Source organism: Homo sapiens, chromosome 7, assembly GCF_000001405.40.
Source record: "Homo sapiens chromosome 7, GRCh38.p14 Primary Assembly".
Classification (NCBI taxonomy): domain Eukaryota; kingdom Metazoa; phylum Chordata; class Mammalia; order Primates; family Hominidae; genus Homo; species Homo sapiens.
This window is the reverse complement of record NC_000007.14, coordinates 121,066,656-121,091,487: the sequence shown is the minus strand read 5'-3', so window position 1 is coordinate 121,091,487 and position 24,832 is coordinate 121,066,656. Positions and strand designations below refer to the sequence as shown.

Genomic DNA, 24,832 nt, shown 5'->3' with positions numbered 1-24,832 from the left:
TAACAGGTTCCCACCACTACTCACTAACAGATAAAAGTGAATCCACTGAATCCTCTTATGGCATTCTTAAACATCTGGTATTTGACATTACTCTCTTAAAAACAAGACCAAAATAAAACACAGTATCTTTACTTATACATGGCCTGTAAAGACACACTATGTTTTTAGTGATCCTCCTCAAATTTTGCATTGCAGTATCCCAGGAAAGGAATTCATTTCTTGTTCTGTTTCACTTCTTTAAAGGAATTCTGTATTAGGTTTCTATGGATGGAGTAAACCTAGGACTGAGTCAGTTACTGCAATTTTTTTTTTCAGTTACTGCAGTATTTAAGTCTCTTCCTCTGTATTTTGTTCAGACATACTTCTTTTCAAGCAACCAACTCAAATTAAAACAGAAATAGCTTGTAGTCAACAGATTTATGACACCTAGACAAAACTCCAGGAACTATTTCAGACCTACACTTCAGCTTAAATAATATAATTTGGGGATCTGTATACTCTGAACAATTCTATGCTTTTTTTTTTATTTTTATTTTTTTAGATAGAGTCTCACTCTGTCACTCAGGCTGGAGTGCCAGTGGCAGGATCTCGGCTCACTACAACCTCTGCCTTATGGGTTCAAGCGATTCTTGTGTCTCAGCCTCTCGAGTAGCTGGGATTATAGGCAACCGCCACCATGCCCGGTTAATTTTTGTATTTTTAATAGAGACAGGGTTTCACCATGTTGGCCAGGCTGGTCTTGAACTCCTTACCTCAGGAGATCTGCCCTCCTTGGCCTCCCAAAGTGCTAGGATTACAGCTGTGAACCACGCCTGGCCTAAACACATCGATTCTTTAATACGTTTTTACTTTTATTTTATGCAAATAGCATTGACCAGAGTATCTTTGAGAGAATGGATACGCCAAACACATAAAGGTATATTAGTACAGAATTCTAGCCTTAACATAGGCAACTCATAATTCACTTATCAAGATCTGACATTATTGTATTACTACTTGTGTGACTTTGATAACAATATTTTATTCTCTATGGTTTCAGAATATCTTTCATATGATGTTATCATATCAGTGTACAACAAACCACAAATACGAATAGTATGGTATTTCTAGACAGTACTCTTGGCAGAAAAACAGTAACTTTCACTTTGTTATAGGAAATGAAATGTAGTCCATGTCCCAGTGAAGTGGAGACACAATTTGACCCATAAAAGTGGCCAGATCAATGACACAGCAATGTGCTCTAAAGGGGTAGTCATTGTACAAAATTTCCACCAACTAACCACTCAATCAAATGCTTATGGAGCACTCAGTAAACGCAAGCCATGAACGCTCTTCTTTGTAGTCTTTTTCAGTGGAAGTGTCAAAGTCATGCAATTCTACAGAAATAATTTTCCCCTTGGACTGCTCTATGTTTTGACCATGACCACATAAGAACCTTGAGTTCTGCTCATTCTTGTCGGTTATAAAAGCTGTATCTAGACTACTACTTCAATTTTCTTGCCCTATGATTTCGCTGCAATGACCACACAGCATGAAAGATTGTTTTATTACTTTATGGCAGTTTAATTTTCCTTTGATGGTTTTCTGCATGAATTTTCCAGGGGAAATGACATTTTTTTAAAAAAGAAAAATGCTTGACTACTGCAACAAGACCAAAGGTGGATAATTTAGTATAAATTAATGAGCATCATTAATAACAATTTAAAACACAACCTCCAAAAAATATTAACACATAGAGTGAAACAAATATGATAATAGAATGGCAGCCTAAACCCACCCACTGTGAAAAGTAGTTTATCACTTTATTAATAGTAAACTTTTTTCTCAGGAATATTTTCTGCAGTAACTATCAGATATCATTGAAATAATTTAAGTCAGAATAATAACTTACTAGAACCCTATAACAGTGATTCCAAATTATGTATGTATATATATGAAAGTCAATTCTAATTTAAATGTAACACACAAACACTAGGGGTCATGGCTCCTATTTAAATGAAACCATGTGTTAATATATCTTTTACTTAATGGCAACTTCACAGGCAAATTTAACCTTCAATTTTTACCTGGTATTTTTGGTATAATAAAATGTACACAATATTCCTGTTAATTTACCTCTATTTCTATGTTATTTAAAAGTAAACATATGTGAACCAAGTACATATTTAAAATATCAAGATTTTTATAATATCTGACTCCCAAAAGGAGGTAAGAATATAGACCTTGGAGAGGCAAGAGCCAATGGCCACAATGAAATCTAATGAGGGTTAGAGCTCCAAATGCCAGAAACAAGTCAAAAACATGGAAATATGTCAGAAAAGATGTTCTGATAGGATTACTAAACCATTTTGCCTTGAGGTTCTTTCCCTCCAGTTGCTCAGTGATATGATTAGAACCTGAGGGGTTCAGGTTTGGCTGAGTGACATATAACACAAGAGTTCACTCCTCATAGATGAGGACCCAAGGGCCTGAGTCAGAAGCCAGGCAGAACCTGAGAAGAGTTTCTGAAATGGTGTCTCAATTCTCAGCCTTAGCTAGTTATCCCCATCATTAGCCAGGTACATCTATCTTATATCTTGCATATGAGTAAAGAATTATCCAATTAATTTGAGCCAAGAGGGGAAGGGCCTTCCTATCTGAAGTGCTAAATAATTGCTGGTCTTTAAAGATGTTAATGAGATTATTACACTTTCAATTTTTTTTTTTTTTTTTTTTTTTTTTTTTGCCAATTTTTGCCTAGATTTTAACTTTTGAAGTTAACCTGTTTCTTTTGCAGGGAGAATTTAAGCCAGGACGTTACATTCAAATGACTACTTTTCTTTTTTTTTTGAGAAGCAGTCTCGCACCGTCGCCCAGGCTGGAGTGCAGTGGGACAATCTCGGCTCACTGCAACCTCTGCCTCCCGGATTCATGCGATTCTCCTGCCTCAGCCTCCCGAGTAGCTGGAATTACAGGCGCACACCATCACACCCAACTAATTTTTTGTATTTTTAGTAGATATGGGGTGTCACTATGTTGGTCAGACTGGTCTTGAACTCTTGACATCGTGATCTGCCCACCTCAGCCTCCCAAAGTGCTGGGATTACAGGCGTGAGCCACTGCGCCCGGCCTCAAATGACTATTTCTGTAAGGATATTCTTCCAAGTTTTCTGTAATCATCTCTTATCATTTGTGCTGGCAAGATGCTTTTACCATATATATGAATATACATACGTATGAATTATTTTTCACAAATTTAACATACGCTAACCCAGGCTTTAGAGTTTTGACATCAGCATCTTGTTTCAATTAACACCACTTGTTTGCATGGCCCTGTATAACAATCCTAGACTTGAACTTCCTGTTTTAAACTGCTAAATAAATGCCTAAGAATAGGTGAATGATGGATAAGAAGTCATTTATATCTTGCTATTTCTTATCAAATATATTAAGTATCTTAGAGAAAATAATTTTGTAGCACTCAATGTCACATTCATTTTCAATATATTAGGGAAGTATAGTCCTAGCTTTAAAAATCTTGTGAGCTTGGGCCAGGCATGGTGGTTCATGCCTGTAATCCCAGCACTTTAGGAGGCTGAAGCAGGTGGATCACGAGGTCAGGAGTTCAAGATCAGCCTGGCCAAGATGGTGAAACCCTGTCTCTACTAAAAATTAAAAAACATTAGCCAGGCATGGTGGTGGGCGTCTGTAATCCCAGCTACTCAGGAGGCTGAGGCAGAGAATTGCTTGAACCCGGGAGGCAGAGGTTGCAGTGAGTCAAGATCATGCCACTGCATTCCAGCCTGGGCAACTGAGAAAGACTCTGCCAAAAAAAAAAAAACAGGAAAGAAAAGAAAAAGAAAGAATCCTTGAGCTTGAACTCTTTGTCATATTTTGGCTGTGCAGACCCAGATAGTGGAAGCTGAATAAAAGCTTGAATTGTAAGTAGTAGAGATAATTCAAGTTAGCTTTAAGTTAAAATGGGAAATTATTGGATAACAGTAAAAAAAATGTCAAAATACAGATACCCCTCTTCCTTCCCTCTCTAAGAAAGAGGGATACAGGCTAATTTGGGAACCAAGTCTTTATTATGTTGTTTGAAGTAATGGGAAATAATAAACTGATTTATTAATCTATATCAGTTTGTTGGAGAGAGAAGAGTGGACAAAGAGACCAATGAAGAGAGATGTTGGGCAGGATAGTGTTTTAGTGAGCTAGAGGGAGTTACTTAGTAGGAGAAGAGGGTTATAAAAACTGAATTTGGCAAAAAATTTATTGTGTATTGAGGATGGCTAATTCCCCCTTTGCTGCCTTTTTGTTTGCCTCCCCCAACCAAAGAAAAAAAACTATATTAAAATTTCCAACTCCTATTCAAGACTTTGGGAATCAGATCTGTTGTTATTGGGTGGAGAGGGGATTGAGTGTTTTAATTTGTTTATTTATTTACTTAATACAATGTAATGCTCAGCTTTCTCTCTAAGGGGTCATTTCTACCTAGGTCCCCTGCTATGCCTGGCTCAAGCCCTCATGGCTGGGGTTAGGTTCCCTTGCCCAAGTTTGCCTCTGAGGTCAGCCAGTGAAGAGTGATGGTCATTGGTAGCAGAGCAAAATCAGATTTAGAGCAAAAGTGCATGAATTTTCCATTAGGAGAGAGGGTAAACTCAAGAATGTTCATTCAATTTCATGGATCTGGAGTGAAAAGTGGCAAAAGTTCATGGCCACCCTTATCCATCAAATGATTTGCAATTCAGGTTTTCAGCACTGTGCTTCAAAACCACTCACCTTGTTTCCAACTTGCAGTGACTGCCACTATCTTGGAGAATGTTGGCATTTACTCAGCATTTCCTTCTATCCCTTGAATCTAGCTTTTCCAACCCAAATCACTTAAAAAATTTGCAGTATCTACCAGTCCCAGGAGTCTGAGTTGACATTTGGGCACATGTTTCTCACTAGTGCCCAAATGATTTTCAAAATCAACATAAGACTCAAATTTTTTTGTTTTCTTTCCAGTTTGTATACTTTCCCTCATGAGCCATATTCTACATAATTGAGGGCTTTTTATCGACAAATGGCTTAAAATGTTGTTTCAATGGCTTTTAAACAACAAAATACCTTATTAAAATCTTTCCATTAGGTAAGGTTTCCTTAATTAAAACTCTGAGTACACCTGGCACATTTCTCATTTTGCTCTTGGCACAACAAATGTGTAGATTTACCAATAAATCACGTAATTGGAAAAATTTAGATATCATTTTGTGGGTGGTATCTTTGCTTTTTATAGCCTGCTACAAATACAGTTGAAAGTTCTTTCCCTTAAATGACACAAAACTGTTCTAAAATTGGCTGCTGGGCTGACCTACACGGGACTGAGGGAAGGAATGTAGAAACAGAAACATTACAAAATACTGAACTGAAGAAGACAGATTAAGCATAACCTTTCTACTCAACCATGTCATCTTCCTCCCTTTCTTCTCAATTCTGTATTTAGATTCAAAGTAAACCTTCCTGCTTCTGCAATATTTGGATCACAATGGTATAAATAGTTACGGCTTTATATGTGAAGGTTGAATTCAGCTCTGTATCCAAACTCTGTTCGGGAGAAATATTTCAGGCTCAGTCGGGACATTGTTAAAACCCAGGGGTACTAAACACACCATGACAACCCCCCAAATAGGAAATGGTAGAAAATACATCTATTTTTTGTTGTTGTTCTTTTAAACCCTATCGTCAATGAGAGATGACAAGATGCTATTCGGTTATTATTTATCAGTATAGTGCAGTTTTAGTGTGAAACTAATCCATGTTCAATAAGGAGTCCACTGTGTCTGGCCTTGACTGGCAGAACTATGCATGAGGTTTAATAGTAAGGAATCTCTCCTAAAGAAAAAAGAGGTAGATGGCAAGAGAAGCCCAAGGATACCAGGATGACAAAAAAGAAAGGCACTTTTTTGTATGCTGTTCTTGTATTCCACAGGCTCCACTTCCACTCCAGGGTTTAGGTCAAAAGCTAAAACAATACTAAAACATTTTTTTCAAGTTATCTGTGAGATGTTGAGACTATAATATTACATACAATAGAAAAAAATAATAAAGAAGGATTTTGCCTACTGAACTGAAAAAATCCAATTTATTTTTTACTTATTCAGGCTTTGGAAAACTAAAGGGATGACAGGCCCTGGGCAGGACAATGACTAGTACAGTGGGATGTACACCAGCAGTTTGTTTCAGCAGCAGCAGGAGGAGAAGCAGGTACTGCATGAATCTCTGTCCCTGACCCTGGACATGGCACCTCAGCACAGACACAGGCAGCTGCAGCAGCAGGACCGATGCCACATGGAGCCCAGGGGCAGAGTGCCTTTGGTGGGCATGAGCAGTGGTGTACATCAGCAGCAGATGGCCATGGGGGACTCCAGCAGAAGTGGAGTAAACGGTGAATATAGCTGTAACAAGTATGAGAGGATTGTACTTATGAATACATAGGAAGTGATCTCTGAGACAAAGGGAGCATTTGGGGCCGTCACTACGATGAGCAATGCTACTGAAATTTAATGGATAAAGGCCACAAATAGATTTGTGCCTTATGCAAGATAGATCTGGTATTTCTTTGGAATGCACTGGTAAGGTATAAAGTCTAACATCTGTTTAAATGGTTAGGCATTCATTCTCATACCACAACAGCTGCTACGATGCTGAGTATCACCCTGTGCAACAACACATTGTCCCCTGTCCCACATAACTTTTGAATGTCTCAATGGATATTGATGTGGATGAAAAGCCAGTTGGTAATTATTTGAACCTAGAGCTTGATGTGGTTTTGCATATAAACTCAGTTTTACTCATTTTAATCAGTTTTATTACATACTGAATTTTGCAGAAATGAAATTCCATGGCCAAGCAAGGGGACACTAAGCTTTGCTTTATTTGTGACTTTCTCCAGAGCTGTTTCCATTTTGGAAAGGCACATCACCAATAGCAATGTGACCTATGGAATCTTAGTTTCCCTCTATGATACAACCACAGCAATTTGAATTTGTAGCTGTCACATTCATGGTGATTCTACAGATGAGTGGAAGCATCTGACTATTTCATTACACCCTATGGTGTAATCGTGCATAAATATTTACACATTGAAATACATGTTGTTATATTATAAATTACTTTCACCTTAATTTTCCTTTATAAAAGAGTTGGGGTATTATACTGGTTTGTTAAAATTATGTGGATAGGCGAGTTATAGATATTTCATTCTGGATCAACCAGGTGTCAATGAATATATATCTATTTTCAAAAGAGAATTTGGAGTCTGATAGGAGTGAGAGAATTGCTTTATGATGACTCAGTAGTGGTTAGTAACAGGATATTAGGGGGAAGGAGCCTGAAAATAGCAAATGTAGGTAGAGGCAAAGAAATATTTTTGTAATGATTTTAGAATCCAAGTTCTATCTCCAGGTTAGTGAGTCTTAAAAACATGAGTCTCACCAAACTAGATTAAAGTCGTAGCTACTAATTATAAACTAACAGTTCTGGAGATACTTATTGAAAAAACAATCATAATACTCAGCATTTATGGGGTGCTCACTGTGCATTGTTCCAAGTACTTGAAATGTATTAACTCATTCTGTCCTCTTAGCAACCCTAGGAGACAGAGTCCTGATCATCCCTACATTGTAGACAGAAAGCTGAAGCACAGACTACAGTCCCATACCACCCTGAAAGTGCTCAATCTGGTCTGATTTCGGAAGTTAAGCAGGGTCGGGCTTGGTCAGTACTTAGATGGAAGAAAAGCGAAGCACAAAGAAGGTACAACTTGCCCAAGGACACTGGGATATCAAGTGGTCAGGACAGGATTTACACATACGCAGCCTGGCTCCATCTGTACCTCCCTGCTATCCTCCAGCACCTGTGCAATCAGGTCAAAGCAATTACTCATTCTGAAAACTATTTTCAACAACCATTAATTCCACAGAAATCACATATTTCCCATAAAATATAATTTGGCTCTACTTGCATTCATTAATTAACATTCCCAGATTGGTGCTATACAAACCAGCTTGGCAGCACAATCAGTGAATTCTAAAGACTATCATAAACCCTCCCAAGAAGACCAGAAGGACAGCTTCAAAAAGCTAGGACAACTAATTCTTGGCCCTTCCAAGTGCCCCATGTGGGAGGGGGTCACTATTATTCTGGAGGCCCAGAGCTAATGCTGGTGGTGGCTACACCCACATCTGACTCATCATGAATCCCAGGCATAAGACTGGACTGTAAGGTTTGCATTGGTAAATTTTCTATGCTGCCTAGAAAGGCTGTAGATGGTTTGCAGAGCTGAGTCTGGAGTAGGCACATCAGAAAAGAGGTAACAGAAAAGGGTAAGGAGGACCCTCAAGGAGGAGAGTGCCAGTGAGAGCTGAGGACTGGAGCTTCTGACTCTCCCAGGGCTGTTCATTCCCATCTGCTGTTGAATGCCCTATACAAACACTAAGACAAAGCAAGAGAAAGACAGACAGTCTTCTGCCTTCAGCACATTCACTTAACTTCTGCTTATGCATAAATATTATTATAAATAAGAAATTTAAAGGATCATTTTAGTTGATGAAAGAATAATAAATAATAATAGAATAGGTAAATTCAGTTTCTCATTAGGCCTAGCTGAAACAATTTTCTTTAAATAGCTCCTTTCTTATTTTCTTATTTATAAGACAGACTTAAAATACAGTATAGTGGTTCAAGTTTATCACAAAGTTATAGCATAATACTTTAGATATGGATATGCTGCTTTACAGCTGTGTAGCCCAGAGGTTCTTGAAGGCTTCATTTACTCATCTAAAAAAGGCATGAATATATCTATCTTACAGATGGTTATCCTATAGATGGTTTAAAGACAGAAGTGTATAAAGTGCCTGACATAGTGTCTGACATATAAGTTAAAAATTTAATGTCATCTCCTGCTTTATTTTAGGGTAATCTATCTATAAAATAATCCTGCAGCATAAAATCATAAAGCCCACCATAATTATCTAGAAAACAAACCAAAAACAAGTATTATGTTTTTTGATTATACTCAACCTCTTAATTGTACTTACTTGCCTATTTCTTTCTAAATCAGAATGCCTCAAAAAAGCACATTATATATTATTGTGACAGCTTTATGTTGAGGTAGAAAACAGAAAACCTCATTCAATTGCTTTCTGCAAATCAATCCATGGATATCCAGAGTAATATAGACATAATCTCTTATATATTATTTTCATAGACTCATAATATTCTTTTATAAAGCATTTTCATAACTCTATAAGGAAAGAATGGTCAGTTTAATTATTTCCATTTTACAAGTCTAGAAAAGCAGCTCAAATGGGCTAAGGACTTTTCCCAAAGTTGCATGACTATATTTAGCAGCTAGGTGGAACTGGAATTAGGTTGCTGCAAGCCTGGGCCATAGGATTCCTGATTTCTGCCATCACTGTAAATTCCTTCCTTTAGGGTTAAAATTCATATCAAAACATACATACATACATTCTCATAGATGCTCAGAAATAGGTGGGGCAAAATGCGCCATGAAAAGGCCCTCTCAGCTAATGTGGATGAATTAACTGCTATAGAGGGTTGAAAGAAGGAAGTGTATAAAGTGCCTGACACAGTGTTTGACATACGATAAGTTCAACAAATTAATGTTCTCTCCTGTTATTATTTTAGGGTAACATCTATAAAATAATCCTGCAGCATAAATCATAAAGCCCACCATAATTATCTACACAACAAGCCAAAAGCGAGTACTAATTATGCTTGTTGACTGTACTCAATCTCTAAGTTGCACTTACTTGCCTATTTTTCTAAATCAGAGTACCTCCTTTTGGGCAAAAGTTGGCCTTCTCAAATGCAACACATTTGCTTGTGAAATGAGTATCAACACTGGGATTGCACAGCTGCTCTAACCCTATGATGTTAATGAAAGTGACGCAGAAGAAAAGAGAAAGTTCCATATTTCACCATTAGATGGTGCTAGGAGAAGTGGAAAGAAAATGGTCTTAAAAGTTATTGATGCAATGAATCACAGGATTTGAATGGGGTTTTCTATATAATAGAGTTCATGCTTCTCTCCCAGAAAGGAGCACACCCAACCCATCAAAGAGTAAAACATCTTCCAAAGCTACCCTATTTATTCAGTTAATTATACTTCTGCCAGACATGTTCCTTTCTAACCACAACTTCAAATGCAAATGAAAGACTCTAAGATTCTATTAAGGAAAACGAATGTATTGCACTTCGTTTATAGTTTGCTGCAACTCTCATTTTGAGTCTTTATCAATATATTTTTCAACAGGATGTGTCAGATTGGAAGAGGCTAGACGCCTGTGACAATGCATTTATCCTACTAATATTAATTATGGTTAAAATGAAAAGTAAATTCAAGAGACTAGTCATAACGAGCATCACCTTTCCATGAGTAACATGTTATATACCATACAATTTATGGAGTTCTGTGCATTTCAGCTAATGCATCACTTTGGTGGGCTTTTATTTTCTAATATTGATGATATGTTGCAAATCAGAAATCAGTGCATAGCCCTGGACTTCTGTGAAAATAAATGAAAACAGCCTTGAGCACTGCAAACTTACTATTTTTCTTTTATAACACTTGTAAGTTTCTTGTTGCTCAATATCTGTCTCTACCACCAGAAGGAGACTGGAAGAGTGATCATCTTGAAGTTCAAAACAGTATATCCCCCAACACCAAACTCTCTCCCTCCCTCTCAATCTCTTTCTCTCTGGGTATATGTATGTGTGTGTGTGTGTGTGTAAAATGAAGGTTTTTAAAATGCATAAGTAAATAATACAAATTACAGTACAGTATAGTTCTCTTTCACTTATTGGTTTTATTCACAAAGCAGGTATGTAAATTTTAGGGTGAATTTTCTCCACCTCAGCAGCGAACTCCTGGAACTTGATTGTACTCTGTACCCTTAACTCAGTCTTCATAATCCCCAGGCAGAGCCCCTGATGGCTTCAAAATAAAAAGTTTGACCACTTCTGCAAAAAAATTCTCATTATTTTGAAGCAAGCAATGTGTTTTAGAAATCTGATCCAGGTTTCAGATTAACTCCTAATATTTCTGTTGCAAACATAATGGTTCAGGAAGAATTTATTGGGGCAAATATCATATCACAATCACTGGGCGATGTATTAGTTGAGGAAGATCCAAACAATTGTAATATACTTTATTTTATAGTATACTTTATTCTCACAGGCTATATAGTGAGACATGGAATATGTCTACACACAACTAAGAATAAACTATTGATTAATAGACTCAGGCTAGGTGAACAGGATAACCAAATCTGCAAAGTAAAAATATGGTATACTACTCAGTGTTTATTATGTAATGCAAAGAAATCCAATATCAATTGCTTGAAGTTCATGTGTTAGCCAGCTGTTTTGGTATTATACAGACACACTGCTACACATCTATGTTTACCATCTACGTGAGTAAACGGGCCTGCTGGAGGGATTTAGATCAAAAAACTGAATATCTTTCTTTTCACTTCTTCAGTTTTGGTCTATTGAAAATCAGAATTAATTGTCAGAATCCTACAAATTATCAGCGTGTTACCCAATGTTGCCTCTAATTTCTAGTGGCATTTGGCACAAGATGACAAACTCTCTAAGTGAAATAGGTAAGTGTCTGTACAGGACAACATAAGTATAGAAGTCAAACACCAGAAACATAAAATTTCCCAAATCAGTTTGACACTGGGGTCTTCGAAATTTACTCTACCAAAGAGCAGAGGGGTTATTCAGCTTTCTCAGCCAGTCAGTCTTTTGCACAACTTCAGAGATGTCAGCAAACTGCCAAATGTTTTCTGGAAAGTGGACTTTTAAACTGGCCTGATGCCAAAGCAAAGTATAAAGCTATGAGCAACACAGGAGCAAGAGACACCTTTGGCTAAGTGAGCCTGGTCTATCTTTTGCGAGACAAAGAACCAAGCATGGCACAGAAAGGCAATTCTACATATAGACCAGCAGATGGGCACCTGGGTAGCCAGTGGGCAGTATCAGAGTTCTTGGTGCTGAAGGGAAGGAAAGATTAATATTTCCTTACTTTAAAATGATTTTGAAAGGACTACATCTGCCTAAGAATTCCATGGGCTTTACCATAAGCAGTCAACAAACATTTTTCAAACACCTCTACTAATACACATCTATTGTTTTTGTCCAGTGTCTCTTTCTTCTTTGGGGATCTGTTCTCTCGTTTCCATGTGATATCATGAATCTGCTACTCGCAGCCTTCTGTCTTCTCCACCCATCCCTGGCTGCTATGAGCCAAATTGTGTTCCTCCCCCATATTTATATGTTGAAGTCCTAACCTCCAGTCCCTGGGAATATGGGTGTATGTGAAGATAGGGCCTTTAAGGAGGTAGTTAAAGTGAAATGAAATCACTTGAGTGTGCCCTAATCCAATATGGCTGATGTCCTGAGGGGAACAGGACACAGACATAGGCTTGCACATAAGGAAAAGAACATGTGAGAACATCCCAAGAAGGCGGTCATCTGCAAGTCAAAGAGAGGCCCCAGAAGAAAGCAGCTCTGCTGACACCTTATCTTAGACTTCCAGCCTCCAGAACTGTGGAAATGAAATTTCTTTTGTTTAAGCCACCCAGTCTGTGGTACTTTGTTACGGCAGCCCTAGCAAACTAATACAGTGCCCATGGGAGCAGCCTCAGCCCAACCATTCACAGGAGCTATTCTCCTGGTCACAGTGTTGAGCAGAGTGGGCTGTTGACACATGTTGGTCTCCCAGTTTGGAGGTGAAAAGGAAGTGGCTGCATTTCTGAACAGGGAGTACCTGGCAGCCATCTTCTCCATCATGTGGAGAAAGCCCATCTGCAGAAAGAGAGAATAAGGCCAACATACAGAAATAGTTAGGATATATGCAATTCAAGCATAAAATGGTCAGAGTTTCAACTAGTATGTCAATAATAGAAGTCTTTTTTTTTTTTTTTTTTTTTTTTTTTCTTTCTTTCTTTCTTTCCAGAGACAGGATCTCATGTTACCCAGGCTGGTCTCAAACTCCTGGCCACAAGCAGTCCTCCTAGAAAAGTCGTTTACTTCAAAACTAAGAAATGGCTTATGAAAATGTCATGCTCCACTAAAAATTAAAAAACAAATCAGGCCACGTGCAGTGGCTCACACCTGTAATCCCAGCACTTTGGGAGGCCAAGGAGGGTGGATCACAAGGTCAAGAAATTGAGACCACCCTGGCCAACATGATGAAACCCCATCTCTATCAAAAATACAAAAATTAGCTGGGTGTGGTGGTGCACACCTATAGTCCCAGCTACTCGGGAGACTGAGGCAGGAGAATCACGTGAACTCAGGAGTGGAGATTGCAATGACAGGAGATCGTGCCACTGTACTCCAGCCTGGCGAGAGTGAGACTCCATCTCAAAAACAAAAACAAAACAAAAAATACAAATCATATAGTAGTATGAAGTAAAAAGTAAGAAGCGAAAAACAAATCATAAAGTACTGAACAACAGAGTATAAAAAGAAAAAACTAACCGAGCAAGGTAAATTCTAATTACTTCTGAGGATACTCTAAGCCTGAAAGTGAGGTGTAAAAAACACTTTAAAAATAATAATTTGATTATATAAAAATTTTAAACGTATGTGAGCCTAGAAATACCATAAATAAAGGTAAAAGACAAGTATATATTTACATTTAAAAAAATTAGTATGTTTGTAAATATGTAAGTGTATCTATTTTAAAACAAAGCATATTGTTAATATACATTTTAAATACATATTGTATAAATGGAAAAATATATAAAATATATTAATACATATATATATAATGTATGCATTATTGAGCCTACTTTCCTTTCTATTATTTTTAACTCAACAATATGGTTGGAACATTTTTGTAACATTAAATGTAGATATCCATTATTTATGTCTTCAGTTTCCCACCAATAAATGTGCAATAATTTGTTCACACTTGAATTATGTAGCATTCTAGTATGTAAAAATTGCACATGAATGGGAAAGGTATGTAATTTCACTAAATTCATTTTTTGCTTTCTTTTTGCTTATCTGTATTTTCTATTCTTTTCATATGAATGTCTTACTGTTTAATAAAGACATAATAAAAGCAAAAGCTAAAAGGAATGAAAAAATGCATGTCCAGTCATTTTTAAAATTTGACTTCCATTTTCATTAACTTCCTTCTCATGGATGGCTAGAAACCTAAAAAGGATACAGGAAAGAAAAAGAAGAACATGTCTACTAAGTTTCATTTTTGATAAATAGAGAGAATCACAAAAAAGTGGGGGTAGAAAATATACCCACCACCACTGATTGCTGTTAATCTACTCTAGAGTTCCTTATCTGGAGTCATTATTTTCAGACTGAACTCTCCCAAGTTTCATGGGGGATGGAGTGGTGTCAAGCAGGAGTCTCCAGGGGCCACCAGGAGGAAGAAAATAAAGGGCAAAGAGGAGGATACAGGGCAGAGGATCCTACCCTTTATCACAGTCATTCTATTTCTTTCTTGGTTATATGGGACTCCTGAGTATTTTTTTTTAAAGTTTAGAGCTTTAAAAAAATCCACCAATATCCACTGCAATCTAGATCAATGTTCTTTCTTTCTGATTTAGGTTTTTCTGGCCATATATCATACACCCTCACTTTTTTCTTTACAAGATCCGTGGAGAAGAAAAGCTAAAGCCCGATAGTCAGCAAGAAATAGCAGATTTATTCCCTTTTCCCTGAATACAGAACCATTAGGATGAAGACACTTCCCAGAGAGCTAATCTATAAGAAGTACTAAAACATTGCTGGATAAGAAGAGAGAGAAAACTCTCACCATTGTCTTCCTATTCCATCCTCTGGCAGTCAGCACTTAGCTTCTCCTCAAATGAAAGGTGAACGAATACTAAAAGACTTGGGTTGAAATGTACAAAACTATGAGTCAGCCTGAAAAAATTACTTGTTCATCTCCAGACCACATGCATAAGGATCAACCAACCACATAAGAAAGGGTCAAACCTGTCCTTTTAGATAGCAGTAACAGTCTCTCAGCTGCAATGGTAACCACCCAGAAATTGATCCTATATTATGAAAGCTGTTACTATCTTTCTACCTAGTTTATGGACAATATTAAAACTAGTTCTCTAGTTCTTTCACACATGTAGAAAGCTTATTATTTAAAATGGTTAATTATGTCTCGCAGGAGTGGGGAATTATATTTTTGATTTATCCTACCCTTATTATTTGCCCCATAGCATCAGCTCAATATCGAGCTCATAATGCATACATAGAGAAATCAGTCCAGGCATTGCCAAAACTCTCTGATAATTGGCAGTGTTCCCCTTCCTTAATTCTGGCCCCCATGGTTAGCATGTTTCATTCAAAATTATTAGAGTGACTATTATATATTAGGGACTATGACCATGTACTGAATTTGAAAAGTGAAAAAATAATGTCCCACCCTCAGGGCGTCTCAGTCCTTGTGGGGGAGACAAACACATACAAATACAGCTGACTCTTGAACAACATGGGTTTGAACTGCATGGGTTCACTAATATGTAGATTGTTTTTTCAATAAATATATTGGGAAAAATTTTGGAAATTTGCAACGATTTTTTAAAAAGCTCAAAGTTGAACCACACAGCCAAGTAATATTTTAAAAATTAAGAAAAAGATATGCCATGAAAATGTAAAATATATGTAGATTTCAGCCTATTTCATCACTTACTATCATGCAATGTACATAAATCTTACAAAAAGTTAAAATTTATTGATGGGTGGATCACGTGAGGTCAGGAGTTCGAGACCAGCCTGACCAATATGGTGAAACCCTACCTCTACTAAAAATAACAAAAATTAGCCGGGCATGGCAGCACATGCCTGTAATCCCAGCTACTCAGGAGGCTGAGGCAGGAGAACTACTTGAACCTGGGAGGAGAAAGTTGCAGCAAGATCGCGCCACTGCACTCCAGCCTGGGTGACAGAACAAGACTCTGCCTCAAAAAAAATAAATAAAAACTTATACACATGAACATATTGAGACCATGCATGGCACTGTAGAGAGAAAGGTAAACAAATGTAAAAATGCAGTATTAAATCATAACAGCATAAAATTAACGGTAGTATACACCATACTACTATAATAATTTTGTAGCCATCTCCTGTTGCTATCGCAGTGAGCACAAGTATTTCCAGTGTTTGCTTAAAATGACTTGTGATGCTAATCATTTTCTCCTGAGCAATTTGTCAGACCAGTAAACTGTGTATTGCAGTAAAAACTAAAAAAAATAAAATAAAACCTCCTGTTGTTCTTGTGTATTTTTCATCTTGTTTAATGCCATGCTGTAACCTTGAATAACACCGTAGGACTCATACAAAGTACCTCTAGTAATGCTGAAAATGCTCCCAAGAAGGAGACAAATCCACAACATCACAGGAAAATGCTGAATGCCTTGATGTGTACCACAGATTGAGGTCTGTAGCTGCAGTTGCCCACCATTTTAAAATAAATGAATCCAGCATATGGACCATGGTAAACAAAAGAAAATAAAATTCATAAAGCCATCACTGCAGCTACACAAGCAGGTGTGAAAACATTGCATTTTTTGTGAAACACCTTTTTATCTTGTATTGAAAATGCAGCTTTTATGTGAGTGGAGGATTGCTAAAAGAAAGGCATGCCTACAGGCTCTAATGTGATTCAAGAGAAAGCAAAGTCATTATATGACAACTTAAAGCAAAAGAAAGGTAAAGGATCTAAAGGTGAGATTTTAATGCTAGCAAAGGATGGCTTAATAATTTCAAAAAGACGTTTGGCTTAAAAAATGTCAGGGTAACAGGAGAAGCATTTTCTGCCAACTAAGAGGCAGCAGACGAGTTCCCAGACACCATTAAGAAAATCATTGAGGAGAAAGGATATCTGCCTGAACAGGTTTTTAATGCAGATGAAGGTGCCCTCAAAAAAAAAAAAAAAAAACACAAAGGAAATTTATTAGTAAGGAAGTGAAGTGAGCACTAGGATTTAAGGTAGGGAGGAGTAGGCTAACTCAACTCTTTTGTGAAAGCGCAGTTGGGTTTAGGATCAGGTCTGTCCTTATAAAGCTTCTAACCCCTGAGCCTTGATGGGCAAAGATAAATGCCAGCTGCCAGTCTTTTGGCTATACAACAAGGCCTGGACAAGAGCCCCTTTTCTGGATTGGTTCCATCAATGCTTTGTTCCTGAAGTCAGGAAATACTTTGCCAGTAAGAGACTGCTTTTAAAGTTCTTTTCACATTGGACAATGACCCTGATCACACAGAACCCCATGAGCTCTACACTTTGAAGGCATCAAAGTGGTCTACTTGCCCTCAAACACAATGTCTCTAATTCAGCCTCTAAATCAGGGGGTAATAGGATCTTTAAGGCTCATTATACACAGTACTCTTTGGAAAGGATTGTCAGAGCTATGGAAGAGAGCTCCAACAGAGAGAACATCATGAAAATCTGGAAGGATTACACCACTGAAGATGCCACTGTTGCTATAGAAAAAGCCATGAAAACCATCAGCCCAAAAGAATAAATTCCTGCTGGAGAAAACTGTGTCCCAATGTTGTGCATGGCTTTACATGATTAATGAGAGAGCCAGTCAAGGAAATTGTGAAATAATTTGTGGATTTGGCAAAAAAAAAAAAAAAAAAATGGGAAGAGGTGAAGGGTTTCAAGATATGGATCTTGGAGAAATTCAAGAGCAAATAGACACCACACCAGAGGAATTAACAAAAGATAACTTGAAGTATTCATGATTTCATGGAGATGAGTCCTTCCAAACAAGTACCAGATCATGAAGAAGATGAAGAAGAAGCAGTGCCAGAAAACAAGTTGACATTAGACAACCTGGAAGAAGGGTTCGCATTACACAATACGGCTTTTGACCTCTTTTACAACTGAACCCTTCTACGATATGGGCACTGAAGCTAAAGTAAACTGTAGAAGAAGGACTGGTGTTATGTAGAAACATTTTTAGAGAAATGAAAAAGCAAAAAAGTCAGACAGAAATTATGATATACTTTGTAAAGCTTCACTGAGTATGCCTGCCTCTGCCTCCTTTTCCACTTCCTCCACCAGCTCTGCCTATGCCTCCCCGAGGCAGCAGAACCAAACCCTCCTCTTTTTCCATCTCCTCAATCTACTCAGCATGAAGATGATGAGGATGAAGACCTTCATGATGATCCACTTCCACTTAATAAACAGTGAATGTATTTTCTCTTCCTTATGGTTTTCTTAATAACATATTGTTTTCTCTAGCTTATTTTATTATAAAAATACAGTATATAATACATACAGCATACAAAGTATGTGTTAATTGACTGTTTATTTTATCAGTATGGCTTCAGTCATCAGTAGGCCATTAGTAGTTAAGTTCTGGGGGAGTCAAAAGTTATGGGCAAGTCTTCAAGTGCACGAGGTGTCAGTGCTTCTAACACTTGCACTGTTCAAGGGTCAACTGTGCAACAAAGCCACATTGTGACACTGCTACAATGGAGGCTTTTCAAGGTATAATAAGAACACAGAGGAAACATAGTGTAAATCTATCTTAGCCAATTAGGTAGACTTCACTCTGAAGATACTCTTGAGTCAATGTCTAAAAAAGCAAGTTTAAATTTTTCGTATGAAATGTATACACAAAAACTTTTCTAGTAATTATCTTTGGTTGGGATACTCATTTTCATATATATATTTCATTTTAAAACCAATATGCTCAAATTGGAAGAAATGTGTCTGTGAACTGCCGTGTGTCTTCTCTTAATCCTATGGTTGACTGACAGATTAATGCTCTATTTCCCACTGTCTAATTTGTCTATCTCAACTAATGACTGGAAAAAACTCTAGGGGTACTTTCTTTTATAAACCACATCTCAACCATCAGCACATTCTGCTGGCTTTTCTTTTAAAAATACATCCTGATCATGGAGGTACAGGGTTCCTCTACCCATACTGAATTGAAAAAAGCATTAGGAACTAAAATTTAGTTAACATCAGCCTTGGAATGCATGGAAATTTATCCTAGATTCTTCTATACTATGAATGCTGGGAGTAGTTCTTAAAATTTTTTGGTATGAATTTTCCTAAGTATTTTAGAGGGTAATTGAGTGAGGCTAATTCAGTGGCCACTAGTCAATTTTCTTTGTGGTGGTGGTGGTTGAGCTGACAATTGCAGAATTAGTGTGATCTATTTTTTCTATTTTAGTAAGTGAGGAAGGCATCCTAGGGGGAGGGAACAGCACACTGTGCAATTTACTCCCATGTTTTTTTTTTTTTTTGTATAGGAAAAGAGAAATCAGAATGTAGAATTGGTTGGTGGCTTAAGCGCTAGTGTGAAAGAATGTTCCAGGTGTTTCTACCTCAGCTGACAGATTAAATGGTCCAGGCTTGGCAGCAAAGAAATTATGATTTAAAAAATGACTGTTGGACTTGGGGAAAGTGACAGAATTAAGATTACCAAAAATGTCATCTGAGTTTCCAAGATTGGTGGTGTTGAAGGAATGAGGAAGGCCAAAAGAAAGTGATTATAAAGTGGTAAGTTTGAGCTTCCAGAGACAGTTGTGGGTGATAAAAGTTACTGAGCAGGGCTACAGAGGTGGGAGGCTGAAGCTGAAGCTGAAGAGAAATGAGATCATGGATAAACTCAAAGAGCTATGAGATTCGGCTGATGAAATTAAAGGCCCATCTTTACAGATGTTGAAACTGACAAGAATGATTGCAGATTTGAAATGGAGAGGAAGAAATTAACCCAAGTGACAAGTTTCTTGTCAAATATGTTGGATGAGCCAGGCATGGTGGCCCGCTCCTGTAGTCTCAGCCCCTTGGGAGGTGGAGGCAGAAGGATCATTTGAACCCAGGAATTTAAGGCCAGCCTAGGCAATATAGTGAGACCTCGTCTCAAAAGAAATAATAATAAAAAAGAGTTGAATGGTTCAAAAGCTACTAGATGATAGTAAGAAAAAGTAGCAAAGATATGTTGAAAAATCCCTGCTAATACCAGAGAGTAAAGTTTTAATTAAATAACCCAGCTTCAGTGTCATCCTTGGCTAGCAAAATTTCTGTTTTGTGAGGGAAAATGGCAGCTAAAGTTACCAAGGGCTAAGGGAATGTGCTGAGGGAAAGGAGTATAGGAAACCATGTGAATGAGGAAGTGGGAGAAGAAGGACTAGACCACTGGATGGGATCTGAATCCTAATGGTTACTGAATTGTACAGGGATAAGAAACATGAGGAAATTTATCCAGAGGTTTCCAACCTTGCCGAGAGATGTCTCAGTGAGACCACTTGCTCCTGTCTTGTACTTTCCTGTATCTTCAACTCTTCTCTTCTTGGAGACCAAATGGCTTTTGTTAAAGTCTCTACATTAGATGGCAGGCCAAATACTGAAAAGGTGCAGGTTATCTGGCCTCTAAAGCTTCTGAATTTATTAGGAAATTTGTTATGTCACATGCCAAGGCCCTGTGAGCATTTGGGCTTGTTGTTCCTATTCTAGATAAAATCTGTCCCTGGATCAAGTCAGAACATCAAAGAGTTGGTGACCTAGGCTGTACTGTTTCAGTCCCTAAACAGACTTATGTGAGCAGACCTAATAAACTTGCTTCAGTTATTTACGAACTGGTGGGAGGAAGATCAATCTGGCTAGAGTCTGGATAACGGAATGGACTGGATTATTTAGGAGCAAGAAAGGAAGTGAGAAGAATATGAGAGACTGCTGATTTGGACTAGGCTGGTCATGGTAGAGATGGAGAAAAGTGGATGAATTCGGTAAGTTTTGGGGATGGATGGCTTACTGATGAATTAAATGGGAATTTGAATGCACTTCCAGAAATTCTACCAATTAGAAATTCATTGGGTTTGCAAGCTTCTTTTATAAAAATGCAAATACATCTAAGAGGCTTATACTGGGGTGAGGGTATAATTTAGTCTGAATTAGTTCCATCAGCTTACTTTCTGCTATTACCTAGCTGAAGTCAGTCATATTAAAGAGATGAGAATTTTACTTGGGAGTGGAATGTTTTGCATAAGGAATATAATCATGTTTGGGAGAGAGGTGAGATTCTTTGGAATGACAGAAGCATTAAGGAGCCCACAGAATCCACAGAGAGGGGGTATCAGGATTTGAGAACACAGAGAACAAGCAAACTTTAACCTTCTCTGAAAGTTTGCTTAGAATATTAGACCTGGGATATTAAGAGTAATCATCAGTGCCACCTAAAATAAATAACTATTATTGGTCAATGTTTAAAAATTATTTTAATTATATTAAATATAAATTATATATTAATTATATTATTTTGAAGATATATTTTATATTTGGTAGTAAATAGTATCTATAATTTTTAAAGCTCTGTCTTGTTTTTGATACAACAAAAGGTGTTTTTACCTATTATTTTTCTTTATATACTCACATGTTACTTTTAAAATGAGGACACAAATCCTAAAATGTTCAAAATGCTATCTTTGAATACAAGTCCTGGTATATTTCAAGCTTCACATGAAGGTCAGTGCTCAGAGCTAAGATAAAACTACTGGAATGAATGAGTTATGGCCAAAAATTGGGCAAACTTTTAACCAGGATTTTTTAGATGGCGATGCTGTACTAAAAAGAACAAAAACAACAACTCACAGCCCAAGCAAAACAGTTCTCTTATGTTTTGTTTTATACTTGTCTTTCAAATATGATGAAAAATTCCCTTTTATCAAAATGAGCAAACTTAATAAAAAGCAACAAAAAACATTAGCAACAAATTTGGGCCAACTAACAAGTATGACACTTTTTTTTCAAAAGGCAAAGCATTAAATGGCAAGATAAAAATAAATCTTTGTGCTAGCCAGTAAAAATTCCGTGGATGTGTGCCCTTCAATGTGAGTCACAAGTCTAATGTCAGGTACACTCTGGCTATGGAATGGAACAGACTGTGTTAGCCTTACGTGCGATCTCCAATCACTCCACTGCATCTAGCCAACACTCTGTCCTGCCTCACTTGCATGGGTTCCAGCCACATTTACCAGCATGATCATCTCTCCTTTCTTAGCATTCCTGTCTCTACCTACTACTGAAGATAAAGTCTGTGACAAGTCTATATGGGGAAAAGGCACAGCAGAATTATGGGATTTCAGCATTATTGATCATTGCCAAACTTTGTATTTTTAGAGAGAAGAAAACTGAAGTACAAGTAAGTTTTAAGTCTTGCTCAGAATTATACGATAACTAAGCCTCAGAGTTAGGACTTGTTAGGTATTCCTCTCTGAAATTGTTGGAGACACTGCTCTATCTATCTTTAATATTTCTGCACATTTTGCAAACAGAGGCACTGACCACATTTGTTCTGAACTAGCTTTTCAAAGATATTTATATAGTGGAAAGCCTTGAAAAAGAGATAGTGCCTCACTCCAGAGCAAAGGAAAGTTTATATTTTTGTCCAGTATAATAAATTTAATGTCTCCCTCTGGGGCAAATGGTAGGCATACTCACTGCACATTATTAAAGATTCAAACTTCCTAAGCTCTGGGTTCCTCTTTTGAAATGCAAACCACTAACAACAGACAAACAGAGAGCCAAATCATGAGTGAACTCCCATTCACAATTGCTTCAAAGAGAATACAATACCTAGGAATCCAACTTACAAGGGATGTGAAGGACCTCTTCAAGGAGAACTACAAACCACTGCTCAATAAAATAAAAGAGGATACAAACAAATGGAAGAACATTCCATGCTCATGGGTAGGAAGAATCAATATTGTGAAAATGGCCATACTGCCCAAGGTAATTTATAGATTCAATGCCATCCCCATCAAGCTACCAATGACTTTCTTCAAAGAATTGGAAAAAACTACTTTAAAGTTCATATGGAACCAAAAAAGAGCCCACATTGCCAAGTCAATCCTAAGCCAAAAGAACAAAGCTGGAGGCATCACACTACCTTACTTCAAACTATACTACAAGGCTACAGTAACCAAAACAGCATGGTACTGGTACCAAAACAGAGATATAGACCAATGGAACAGAACAGAGCCCTCAGAAATAATGCCACATATCTACAACTATCTGATCTTTGACAAACCTGACAAAAACAAGCAATGGGGAAAGGATTCCCTATTTAATAGATGGTGCTGGGAAAACTGGCTAGCCATATGTAGAAAGCTGAAACTGGATCCCTTCCTTATACCTTATACAAAAATTAATTGAAGATGGATTAAAGACTTAAATGTTAGACCTAAAACCATAAAAGCACTAGAAGAAAACCTAGGCAATACCATTCAGGACATAGGCATGGGCAAGGACTTCTTGTCTAAAACACCAAAAGCAATGGCAACAAAAGCCAAAATTGACAAATGGGATCTAATTAAACTAAAGAGCTTCTGTACAGCAAAAGAAACTACCATCAGAGTGAACAGGCGACCTACAGAATGGGAGAAAATTTTTGCAATCTACTTATCTGACAAAAGGCTAACATCCAGAATCTACAAAGAACTCAAACAAATTTACAAGAAAAAAACAAACAACCCCATCGAAAAGTGGGCAAAGGATATGAACAGACACTTCTCAAAAGAAGACATTTATGCAGCCAAAACACACATGAAAAAATGCTCATCATCACTGGCCATCAGAGAAATGCAAATCAAAACCACAATGAGATACCATCTCACACCAGTTAGAATGGCCATCATTAAAAAGTCAGGAAACAACAGGTGCTAGAGAGGAGGTGGAGAAATAGGAACACTTTTACACTGTTGGTGGGACTGTAAACTAGTTCAACCATTGTGGAAGTCAGCGTGGCGATTCCTCAGGGATCTAGAACTAGAAATACCATTCGACCCAGCCATCCCATTACTGGGTATATACCCAAAGGATTACAAATCATGCTGCTATAAAGACATATGCACACGTATGTTTTTTGCGGCACTATTCACAATAGCAAAGACTTGGAACCAAGCCAAATGTCCAACAATGATAGACTGGATTAAGAAAATGTGGCACGTGTACACCATGGAATACTATGCAGCCATAAAAAATGATGAATTCATGTCCTTTGTAGGGACATGAATGAAGCTGCAACCTTCATTCTCAGCAAACTATCGCAAGGACAAAAAAACAAACACCACATGTTCTCACTCATAGGTGGGAATTGAACAATGAGAACACATGGACACAGGAAGGGGAACATCACACACCAGGGCCTGTTGTGGGGTGGGGGAATGGGGGAGGGATAGCATTAGGAGATATACCTAATGTTAAATGACGAGCTAATGGTTGCAGCATACCAACATGGCACATGTATACATATGTAACAAACCTGCACGTTGTGCACATGTACCCTAAAACTTAAAGTATATAAAAAAAAAAGAAATGCAAACCACTAAGTATAGTTGATTAGTTTTAGGACTGCACCCCACCCCCTGTGCCCCCCAGCCATGGATACTAAAATCCATGGGTGCTCAAGTTCCTCATATAAAATGATGTCGTATTTGCATATAATCTATGCAATCCTCCTGTATATTTTAAGTCATCTTTAGATTACTTATAATACCTAACACAATGCCTGCATATCACTTCATTCCACGGATTCAATGTAATACTCAACATGCAGCAAATTCAAGTTTTGCTTTTTGGAACTTTGTGAGACTATTTTTCCTAATACTTCTATCCATGGTTGGTTGAATCCAGGGATGTGGAACCCACAGATACAGAGGGCCAACAGCCTTCAGTGAACTGGTACATGTGCTGATAGTTGGCTTACCATTATTGCTATAAATAAAAAAGTCACTGGTCTCTGACCTAGGCATCTCATGTCTTCTACCAATAACC

The 24,832-nt window shown here is 37.6% G+C and overlaps 1 protein-coding gene and 1 pseudogene across 5 annotated transcripts in view; one reads left to right on the top strand and one right to left on the bottom strand.

The window, feature by feature from the left end:
• The window catches only part of CPED1 (cadherin like and PC-esterase domain containing 1), a 308,732-nt gene that overhangs the window by 205,955 nt on the left and 77,945 nt on the right, over positions 1-24,832 (bottom strand). The gene's annotated exons all lie outside the window — the stretch shown is intronic.
• RNA5SP241 (RNA, 5S ribosomal pseudogene 241) lies at positions 7,675-7,788 on the top strand (annotated as a pseudogene).